Source organism: Homo sapiens, chromosome 12, assembly GCF_000001405.40.
Source record: "Homo sapiens chromosome 12, GRCh38.p14 Primary Assembly".
Taxonomy (NCBI): Eukaryota; Metazoa; Chordata; class Mammalia; order Primates; family Hominidae; genus Homo; species Homo sapiens.
Window position 1 is genome coordinate 57,113,858 of NC_000012.12, and position 12,145 is coordinate 57,126,002.

Below are 12,145 nucleotides of genomic sequence, written 5' to 3' on the forward strand. Positions count from 1 at the left end.
GAAGGCAGAGATTATAGTGAGCCGAGATCAAGCCACTGCACTCCAGCCTGGTGACAGAACAAGACTCCGTCACACACACACACACACACACACACACACACACACACACACACACGATTGCACAAGATAAAGCGTAAGGAAAAAATAACTTTATGTCTATGTACTGCTGGTTACAACCCAATAGTGAGTCACAAAATCGATTTGGTGAGTGTATCAGTTTGCTAGGGCTGCTGTAACAAAGTACTACATATTGCATGACTTAAACAACAGAAATCTCTCAAGATGCTGGAGGCTAGAAGTCCAAGATCAAGGTTAACCTGAGCAGGATTGATTGATTCCTTCTCAGGGATGTGAAGGAAGGCTCTATTCCAGGCCTCCCTCCTTGGCCATTTTCACGTTCACACACTGTTCTCTTTGTATGCAAGTCAGTCTCCAAGTTTCCCCTTTTTTCAAGGATACCAGTCATATTGCATTAGGCCCCATCCTAATGGCCTCATTTTAACTTAATTACCTCTGTAAAGACCCTATAAGGGGGTCCTTCAAAATAAGGTCACGTCCTGAAGTACTTGAGATTAGGACTTCAAGAGAATTTTTGAGGAACACAACTCAGCCCATAACAGCATCTTGATCAAGCACAATGGCTCACACCTGTAATCCCAATACTCTGGGAGGCTGAGGCAGGAGGATTGCTGGAGGCCAGGAGTTCGAGACCAGCCTGGGCAACATAGCAAGATCCCATCTCTACAAAAAAAATTTAAAACAAAATTAAAAACAAAACATAAAAAAAAACAGTGTCTTGACCTTCACTCTTTGAAACTGAAGTAAAGGCCAGGCGCAGAGGCTCATGCCTGTAATCCTAGCACTTTGGGAGGCCGAGGTGTGCGGATCATCTGAGGTTAGGAGTTCAAGACCAGCCTGGCCAACATGGTGAAGCCCCGTCTCTACTAAAAAATACAAAAAATTATCTGGGCACAGTGGCATGTGCCTGCAATCCCAGCTACCTGGGAAGCTGAAGCAGGAAAATCACTGGAATCCGGGAGGCAGAGGCTGCAGTGAGCTGAGATTACACCCCTGCACTCCAGCCTGGGCAACAGAGTGAGACTCCATCTCAAAAAATAAAAAATAAAGTGAATAAAATTAAAAAATAAAACTGAAGTAGAATAGAACAGTACAGAAAATATCAGAAGGCATCAAGCGAAGTAAGGATAAGTATTGTTTAATTAAACTTTTGTTTCAGCTTTATATATGTATCTGAATTCTTTTTTTTTTTTTTTTATTTGAGATGGAGTCTCCCTCTGTCGCCCAGGCTGGAGTACAGTGGCGGGATCTCGGCTCACTGCAACTTCTGCCTCCTGGGTTCAAGCAATTCTCCTGTCTCAGCTTCCCCAGTAGCTGGGACTACAGGCACATGCCATGACACCCAGCTAATTTTTGTATTTTTAGTAGAGACACCATATTGGTCAGGCTGCTCTCAAACTCTTGGCCTCAGGTGATCCACCCACCTCAGCCTCCCAAAGTGCTGGGATTACAGCCATGAGCCACCACTCCCGGCCCTATATGTATCTGAATTCTAAGTCATGATAAAACATACTTTTTAGTGCTGGTTGTGGGGAAAAAAAAAAAAAGCACAGCCATGCATGGTGGCTCACGCCTGTAATCCCAGCACTTTGGGAGGCCAAGGTGGGCAGATCACCTGAGGTAAGGAGTTCGAGATCAGCTTGGCCAACATGGTGAAACCCCGTCTCTAAAAATACAAAAATTAGCCAGGTGTGGTGGCACTGCCCTGTAGTCCCAGCTACTTGGGAGGCTGAGGCACGAGAATTGCTTAAACCCAGGAGGTGGAGGTTACAGTGAGCCAGGATCACACCACTGCACTCCAGCAACAGAGTGAGGGTTTGTCTCAAAAATAATAATAATAATAATAATAACAGAAGCACAATTTGGGTACTGGTGGCCACTACATATTCCTTTGTATTGCTTTTTAATTATTTTGTGGGTACATCTTTCTTCCTCAACAATAACACAAGTTCAAGGAGGGCAAGGACTCATATCATACTGTACACACTGCTGTGCAGCAGCTAGAAAAAACAACATGCATTCTTGGTGGTAAAGATATGAAGGGCTGCAATTAACTGAGTGTCTCCCATGTACTTGGTGCTGGGCTAAATGTTTTATACATACTCTCCTACGTAAGGACTAAACTGATTGATGGATTGATTGCTGGAGCTCAGTACATTTCACAGACAAGACAGTTCAAGAACACTGAATAGTGGACTGTGATTTGTGGAGGATGAGGGAAAGGAGGAGGAGGTCACAAAAGAATTGTGGGAAGCTGCTGAGGGCCCCTAGCCAGCTCTATCTCCCAGGCCTTCACTATTCTCCTCAAGTTTCCATCCATCTTCATACCAACTCATCATTTAATTAGAAAACACCTGTGCTCAAGGCCCCTCCCTTCTGCCTCTTCAGGCACTTGTTCAATTTATTATCCCCTTCATTCTTCAAATCTCCACCCTCCTGCTCTGTAGTTATGACAGCTCTATACTTTCAGCATAAAGCATGTTCGAATCCTTCTCTCTCTCCTCTCTCTCTCTCTCCTCTCTCTCTCTCTCTCATAGAACAGGGTCTCAATATGTTGTCCAGGCTCTCAAACTCCTGAACTCAAGTGATCTTCCTGCCTCGACCTCCCAAAGTTTCGGGATTACAGGCGTGAGCCACCGTGCCCAGCCTGAAATGAATCTTGAAGGGACATAAGAATTATTCAGGCAAAGAACAAGGAAAGCATTAAAGCAGGAAGAAGGTCTAGCATATGCAAAGGCATGGATACCTGTGGGAGCATGGTACCTTCTGGGAATGGGTAGTAATGGGCAATGCGGAGCATTAGAAGATTTAGACAGGTGAGTCATATGATAAGATTTAGTAGAGGGATCAGCCTAGCTGCAATGTGGAGGATGGATTTAAAAGATAAGTTCTGAAGCCAGGAGATCCATTCAGAAGGTTAATAACAACAGAGAGGGAGACGACACAGTTGAAGAGCAGAGGTGAAGCATTGTGGAATGGAGACTGGTTAGGAAGAAAAGTGAAGACATGAGGGGCCAGTGTCAAAGGAAAGAAAGGCAAGAAACTGGAAGTCTCAACAGACTTAAAGACCAGGCTTCCCGGGGGCAAGGGAAAGAAGAGCTGTAAGGCTAGGATGTTGCGGTCAGAATCTAGGGAGTGAGATTTCAGTCCAGCTCTCCTGCAAGGGTGTGATAAAGGTGGTGGCTATGAGAGTGAGTGGCTACAGCAACACAGAGGTAAGTCATTGGAGTCAAAGAGAACAAGGAACCAAGAGGCCAGGGTGTTGGCTGGACTACCTGCCGGAGCACTGAAACCATCTGGGTTTGTGGAAAACTTGAGGTGGACAGGAAGACAGTCAGCTGCTAAAGTCTTCACAGAAGGCCAGGCGTGGTGGCTCATGCCTGTAATCCCAGCACTCTGGGAGGCTGAGGTGGGCAGACTGCTTGAGGCCAGGAGTTTGAGACCAGCCTGGGCAACATGGTGAAATGCCGTCTCTCGAAAAAATACAAAAATTAGCCTGGTGTGGTGGTGCATGCCTATAGTTCCAGCCACTGGGGAGGCTGAGGTGGGAGGATCCCTGAGCCCAGGATGTCAAGGCTGCAGTGAGCCATAATTGCACCACTGCACTCCAGCCTGGGCAACAGAGTGAGAGCCTGTCTCAAAAAAATTAAAATAAAATAAAATAAACAAAGACTTCACGGATAAAGTGACCAGGACATCAGTGGATAACAGCAAAAATAATAACTAACACTTAGTGGGGCTTTATGTGTTACTTCAATTCTTACTCTAAAATTGAAGCACTGTACTTTTTATCCTACAATAATACTATGAGCTAGAACTATGTGCCCACTACAGTAGCTACTAACCACTTGTGGCTATTTCAATTTTAAAATTCAATGCCTCTGATGTATCAGCCACATTTCAAATGTGCAATAGCCATGTATGACTTGTGGCTACTATATTAAAACAGACACGGGGCATTTCCATCATCACAGAAAATTCTATTGGATAGTGCTGATAACCCTCATTTTACAAATGAGGAAACTGGCATGGAAAACTCAGCAACTTGCTCAAGGCTAAGGTGAGAGAGCTGGGATTCAAATCCAGTTAGTTTGGCACCAGAAATGTTGCCCTTAAGCCCTATGTTGCACATCCCAATGGAAGGTGAAATAGTTGGCTCTTAAAGGAAGAGGAATTTGATGTGACTACTGAGGCAAGCACTGGTGGTGCCTATTCAGCAGCCAAGCTTTTCTCCCTTGCTAGCAAAGTCTGGATTTCACACAGGTGTCCCCCTCCTATGTATTCACGGGGTGAATCTAATTGGCATAGCCAATCACAGTATTTCTATTCCCTTGGCCAGTGACCCAATCCTGGCCAATAGGACTTAGGGGGCTTCTGGGAAAGATTTTGTTCTTCTTCAGTGCCATGTTCACTTTTAGGATTGGAATAGCTGCAACCACGTTGCAACTGGGAGGGGAGATACCACCAACCAATGAGGATAAAGTATGAGTGTGAAGAGGTGGAAAACCTTTGATGAATCAACCAGCCCTGGACCTGCTATAAAACTCCTCATTGTTGAGCCTGCTTTAATTGGGTCTTCCATTACTTGCTGCTAAATGCATCCCTAACTAAGACCATGGTGAAGCTATATCGCCACAGGAAATGGAGACTCCAGGGTGGGCTGCCTGCCCATCCTCCCACTACCACCCGCCCTATACACTTGAGAGAATAAGCGATACCTCATTAAAGGAGGAATGTTCTCAAGGAAGGATCAGGTTCCAGACAAGCCAAGAGGGGCCAGGATAATGTGAGCCAGGGGTGGCCCCAGGCTTCAAGCAAGGAGATGGGTGGAGAGCAGTATAACAGTGTTAGGAGGAGGAAGGACTGGACTTAGTGGAGAAGGATGGATGCCAATCAAGGCCTGCCAAGGATGACAGGATGTGAGCAATGGTGGAGTCAGCTGATCTCAAGGCTTCAAATGGAGCCCTCAGGCTGTCAGAGGCTTACTGTGGCCAACCGACCTTTACTTCACAGAAGGACAAGTTAGCCATCCTGGTGAATGGGCAAAGTCAAGCAGCTCTGGATGGAGTCAGCTGTGGTCAGGATTGTGCCTCTGCAAGGAAATCTCAGTTCTCTAATTACTGTCTTGCCTCTCTCCCTTCCCCTGTGCAGCCAAGCATCTTGGGAAAATTATTCATATTCAGTCTTCTCTTCCTTACTTCCTCATTACACTGCCAGCTGGCTGCTGCCCCCACCAGTCATGAAACTGTCCTGGCCCATGTCACATACACCCTCCTAGGGGCCTTGAATGATGGCACATTCCTGTCTTTCTCTTGCTGGGCCTTTCAGCAGTACTCAACACTGTTAGCCATTCTTGAGTAAGTTCTCCCCCAACTACTTTTCATGATTCCTTTCTTGGTCTTCGGCCTACCTCTCTGCGTCCTCCCTCTCAGTCTCCTGTCTTCACGGGACACTCTTTCTGTGTGATCTCATCCACATCTGAGGCTCCACAGCCTGGGCAAGGCTATGTAGTATGGTGATTAAAACCTTGGCCGCTGGCAGACCACCTGTGTTCAAATCTCTGCCCTACCAGGTGGTTGCTTTGTAATACCCAAACTTCTATCAAGATGTGGATCATTACCCTCACCCCAACCCACAGGGGAAGCCACTGTTCTGATTTTTTTTTTTAAGTAGAGTAATATAGGATGTAGTTTTATGTCTGGCTTATTTTACGCAACATGTTTTGAGGTTCATCCATGTTGCTGCATGTATCCATAGTTCTTTCATTTTTCTTGCTGAGTAGTGTCCCATGGTGGATCTATACCACAGTTTGTTTATCCTTTTTCAAATGAAGGATACCTGAGCTATAGCCAGCTTTTGGCTACTGTGAAGAAAACTGCTATGAATATTCTGTGTTCAAGTCTGTGTGTGAACATATGCTTTCATTTCTCTTGGATAAATAACTAGGAATAGAATTGCTGAGTCACAGGGTAGGTGTATGTGTAGTTTTATAAGAAACTGCTACATATTGTTCCAAATTGATAGTACATTTTACATTCCCACTAATGATGTATGAGAGTTCCAGTTGCTCTGTATTCCCACTAACATTTGGTATTGTCAGTTTTTTAAAGTTTAATCATTTTGGTGAGTATTGAGAGGTATCACACTATGGATATAATTTCCTTTTTTTTTTTTTTTTTTTTGAGACGGAGTCTTGCTCTGTCACCCAGGCTGGAGTGCAGTGGCACGATCTCGGCTCACCGCAAGCTCCACCTCCTGGGTTCATGCCATTCTTCTGCCTCAGCCTCCCGAGTAGCTGGGACCACAGGCGCCCGCCACCACGCCCAGCTAATTTTTTGTATTTTTAGTAGAGACAGGGTTTCACCATGTTAGCCAGGATGGTCTAGATCTCTTGACCTTGTGATCCTCCTGCCTCGTCCTCCCAAAGTGCTGGGATTACAGGCGTGAGCCACCGTGCCTGGCATAATTTGCATTTTCTTAATAACTAAAGATGTTGAGTTCTTTTCTTTTTCTTTTTTCTTTTTATTTTTGAGACAGGGTCTCACTCTGTTGCCCAGGCTGGAGCACAGTGGCACAATCACTGCTCACTGCAGCCTCAACCTTCTAGGCTCAAGCAATCCTCCTGCCTCAGCCTTTTGAGTAGCTAGGACTGCAGGAATGCACCTCCATATCTAGATCATTTTTAAATTTTATTTATTTATTTATTTTGAGATGGAGTCTTGCTCTTGTTGCCCAGGCTGGAGTGCAATGGCACAATCTCAGCTCACTGCAACCTCTGCCTCCTGGGTTCAAGTGATTCTCCTGCCTCAACCTCCCAAGTAGCTGGGATTACAGGTGCCCACCACCATGCTCAGCTAATTTTTGTATTTTTAGTAGAGACAGGGTATGGCCACATTGGCCAGGCTGGTCTTGAACTCCTGACCTCGTGATCCGCCCGCCTCGGCCTTCCAAGGTGCTGGGATTACAGGCGTGAGTCACCACGCCCGGACTTTTTGTAGAGATGAGGTCTCGATATATTGCCTAGGCTGGTCTGAAACTGCTGACCTCAAGCGATCCTCCCACCTTGGCCTCCCAAAGTGCTGGGATTACAGGCGTGCACCACTGCACCTAGCCTCGAGTACCTTTCATATGCTTATTGTCCATTCATTGGGTTGTCATTTTATTACTATGTTATAGGAATTTTTAATATATCTCGCATTCCTCTGTCCCTTCTCAGATCAATGTTTTGTCTATCTATTTGGCTTACTTCCACATTTTCATAATAATGTCTTTTTTTTTTGAGTCAGGGTCTCACTGTCACTCAGGCTGGAGTGCAGTGGCACAATCAACTCACTGCAGCCTCTAACTCCTGGGCTCAAGCAATCCTCTCTTCTCAGCCTCTGGAGTAGCTGGGACTACAGGTGCACACCATCACACTCGGCTAATTTTTTAAATTTTTTGTAGTGACAGAGTCTAGCTTTGTTGGCCAGGCTGGTCTCAAACTCCTGGCCTCAAGCAGTTCTTCTATGTCAGCCTCCCAAAGTGCTGGGATTACTCCATAATGATGTCTTCTGACGAGCAAAAGTTTTCTATTTTGATGTTTCACTTATCAAGAAATTTATGTTATTGCTTTCTATAGCTTAAGAAGGGGTTGCTTTCCTCCAAATTATGAAGATATTCTGTGTTTTTGTCTAAAAGCTTTATGATTTTAGCATTTGTGGTTTAGGTCTATAATCAATCTTTTTTTTTAGACGGAGTCTCGCTCTGTCACCCAGGCTGGAGTGCAGTGGCGCGATCTCGGCTCACTCCACCCTCCACCTCCTGGGTTCAAGCAATTCTCCTGCCTCAGCCTCTTGAGTAGCTGGGATTACAGGTGCCCACCACCACACCCAGCTAATTTTTGTATTTTTATTTTTTTAATTAATTAATTTTTTTGACACAGAGTCTCGCTGTCACTCAGGCTGGAGTGCAGTGGTGTGATCTCAGCTCACTGCAACCTCCGCCTCTCAGGTTCAAGCGATTATCCTGCCTCAGCCTCCTGAGTAGCTAGGATTACAGGCATGCACCACCATGCCCAGCTAATTTTTGTATTTTTAGTAGAGACAGTGTTTTGCCATGTTGGCCAGGCTGGTCTTGAACTGAGCTCAGATGATCCACCCGCCTTGTCCTCCCAAAGTGCTGAGATTACAGGTGTGAGCCACCATGCCTGGCCTGTTAATTGTGTATTTTTAGTAGAAACAGAGTTTCACCATGTTGGGCAGGCTGGTCTTGAACTCCTGACCTCTGGTGATTCAACTGCTTCAGCCTCCCAAAGTGCTGGGATTACAGGTGTGAGCCACTGGGCCCAGCCTATAATCAATCTTGAATTAATTTTTGCATATGGTGTGAGGTAGGGGTCAAGGTTCATTTATTTCTCCCATATAGATATGAAGTTGTTCCATAACTATTTATTGAACAGACATTCCTTTCTCCACTGGCTGGCTTTGACATCTTTGCCAAAATCAAATGACCTTTACAGTGGGATCAGCCAGTTGGTGCAATACGAAGTCCCGCCTCTCATCCCCTCACAGAAACACAGATTTAACAATTTACTGATCAAAATACCTTTATGAGAAGTACAGAATCCGGTTGAGAAGTGTGGTACCCCAGACAAGTAGAGAGCTGAGAAAAGCTGCACTGAGATGGATCCTACATTCCTGGGTCTGGGAGTGGGCCTTTCCCAGAGATACCATCCTCCAGCAGTAAGAGACCTCCAATAGTCGGGTCTCAGACAGGTTCCAGCTAAGAGTAAAATCCCAGATCAATGGTGAAAAGGAGTTTAAGAATGGATGCTGAAGCCAGGCATGGTGGCATGTGTCTGTAGTCCCAGCTACTTGGGAAGTTGACAGGGGAAAATAGTTTAAGCCCAGGAGGTTGAGGCTGCAGTGAGCTATGATCATACCACTGCACTCCAGACTGGGCAACAGAGCAAAACTCTGTCTCAAAAAGAAAAACGAAGCCTGTGCCTAGTCAACATTGAAGCAAGAATGCAGAAGTTGCACAGGGTGAGATAGGGATGAGCAGGGTGGAGGGGTGGTAAACACAAAGGAATTGCAATAAGAAATCAAACAACTATCTGATTTTTTAAAATTATGTTGAGATATTTGGGGAAAATGATAGATGCATAGAAAACTAATCAAACGAAAAATAATTCCAAGATAAAAGTATATAAAAGTAACATTATAAAATAATAAACGCATATAGAATTTTTATTAAAAAATCAAATGATTGTGAGTCTATTTCTGGTTCTCTATTCTGCTCCATGGATCTGTTTGTCAATTCTCATGCTAGCACCACATAGTCTTGATTACTGTCACTTACAAGTCTTGAAATCAAGTAGCATAAATCCTCCAGCATTGATTCATTTATTTTTCTTTTTGAGACAGGGTTGCACTCTGTTACCCAGGCTGGAGTGCAGTGGCATGATCATGCAGTGATCAGGTTCACTGCAGCCTCAACCTCCTGAGCTCAAGCAATCCTCCCACCTTAGTCTCCTGAGTAGCTGGGCCTACAGATGCATGCCACCACAGCACTGGGATTTTTAAAAACTCTCCAGGTGATTCTAATGTGAGCCAAATTTTCTAGACTCAGATTTCTCTGTCACTATCTTCAGGCCTATACAGTTAACTGGTTAGTATACTAGATCCTACTTCTTTATTGTTTCTGAATCCTCTTCCTCTCCAGCTCCATCACTCATGCATTAAGGACTTCACCAATTTCTCAACTGGCTCTACACTACTTCTAGAAAAAAAATTCTAAGTCCTTACTGTGGCTAAAATCACGCTTTGTGATTAGGCTTTCTGATACTTCATCCAACACTCTCCCCTCAAAGTACCTTAAACTTCAGCTATGATACCATATTTGATGTTCTTCACATGTTTTAAACTTCTCATGCCTCCAATGCCTTTCCTGCCATCCAGCCTAAAACACCCTTTCCTTTTGTTATTGGTTGTCATTTTCTTCCTCTCATTCAACATTTAGCCTGGCATCATCTGCTGCTCTCTGTCTTGACCACCTTGTCTGGAAGAGGTATCCTTCCCATGTTCCCATGCCCTTCTGCACATGCCTTCATCACAGGTGTTAAGGAACTGACTGTATTGTCATTGTCTGTCTCTTGTTGAGCACCCAGCTAACCTGAAAGCTTCTTGAAGGCTGAGACTGTGTGTTTCCGTCTCTTATCCCTAGTGCCTAGCAATGTACTTGCTTATACGAGGTACCTAATATTTTTATTAAGTGAATGAAATCTGGGCTTGGATCTGCACCATTATTTGGGACAGATTCTTTAATCTCTCAGAACATTCTATTTTCTTATACACACTGGAAATAACACCCATGACAAAAGGTAGACTTAAGTGAGCTGATACTGTAAATAAAGTCCACTGCGTGGGCCTGGGACATGGTATGCGCTCAATAAATACTGGTCCTTTTCCCTCTCTCCGCCTGCCATCAGACCTTTCCGGGATACCCTTCCTACGCACACTTCCTTAACTGACCACTAGGTGGTGCTAGCCTCTGGCTTGACATTCAGTTCCAGAGCTACCCAATTAACGCCCCAGCCCAGGCCCTGCTATACTCAGAAAAGGCGGGTATTTTGTAATTTGCTGAGCGACCCGAAAAAAGAGATGCCCTTTACCCACACTAGCTTCTTTGCCCTCATCACCATTCCAGGTATCAATCATGAATTTCAGAGAATTCCTCCATGATTCCCTACTATTATGGTTATAATCTCAACCCAAGGATTTGAAGATGCCTCTTAAGAACAGATGTGGGGAGGAAGAGAAGGCACTGAGGCAGAGAGGATTAAACAATGAATGCTATAAGAGAAATAGAGGGAAGAAGATGCTTGAAGTCACATCCTGTTCCAGGAAAGGCAACTCTAGTCCTAACATTCCTTTCACCAATCAAGAGCCTCTCACGCTGGGTGGAAACGAAGAAGAAAAAGACATGGTCCCTGCCCTCAAGGAGTATATAGTCTAGTGGTGGATACAGAGCCCACAAAATAAAGTGCTAAACTCTGGATACTGAAGCTTTCCTGAATACAAGTTTGGAACAGGAGAGATAGGCAGAGCGAGAATAACAGGAGGGCTTTTCTGAGGAGGGTAGAGGAGCAGGGGAACTGTATCATTAATGGCTCAGATAGAAATATGCATTCTCAGCAGGGTGAGGTGGCTCACACCTGTAATCACAGCACTTTGGGAGGCCAAGGTGCATGGATCACCTGAGGTCAGGAGTTTAAGACCAGCCTGGCCAACATGGAGAAATCCCATCTCTACTAAAAACACAAAAATGAGCCAGGCATGGTGGTGGGTGCCTGTAATCTCAACTATTCGGGAGGCTGAGGCAGGAGAATCGCTTGAACCTGGGAGGTGGAGGTTGCAGTGAGCTGAGATCACACCACTGCACTCCAGCCTGGGCAACAAGAGTGCAACTCCATCTCAAAAAAAAAAAAGAAAGAAAGAAAGAAAGAAAGACATAAATATGCATTCTCTCACCTTACAGACATACCCTCAGCAGTTCACCTGCTGGAAATAACCCAAGTGCCCAACAATCCCAACAAACTGTGGAACATCCAAGCAAGGAGATTCCAAGTAGCCAAGATCAAAGGGTGAGCTAAATGCGTTCATACGGTATGGAAAGGGATCAAGCTAAGTTAATTGAAAAAAAGGCAAGTTACAGAACACTATATATCATATGAGTTTCTTTATAGTTTTAAAGGATATTCACTTATATTTGTATGTTACTGTTTTATTTATTTATTTATTTGAGACAGGGTCTCCCTCTGTTGCTCAGGCTGGAGTGCAGTGGCACGATCTCGGCTCACCACAACCTCCACCTCCTGGGTTCAAGCGATTCTCGTGCCTCAGCCTCCCCAGTAGCTGGGATTACAGGTATGCGTCACGATACGTGGCTCATTTTTGTATTTTTAGTAGATATGGGGTTCCGCCATGTTGGCCAGTGTGGTCTCGAACTCCTGAAAAGTGATCCTCCCACCTTCGTCTCCCAAAGTGTTGGGATTACAGGCATGAGCCACCACGCCTGGCCTGTATGT

At 44.9% G+C, this 12,145-nt stretch overlaps 1 annotated feature.

Moving 5' to 3' along the window:
• Positions 5,092-5,281: an enhancer, noted in NCBI's record as "active region_6527". NCBI's record gives its function as "activates an Ori minimal core promoter by ATAC-STARR-seq in GM12878 lymphoblastoid cells {active_cell/tissue: GM12878}" and the evidence as "EXISTENCE:reporter gene assay evidence [ECO:0000049][PMID:35858748]".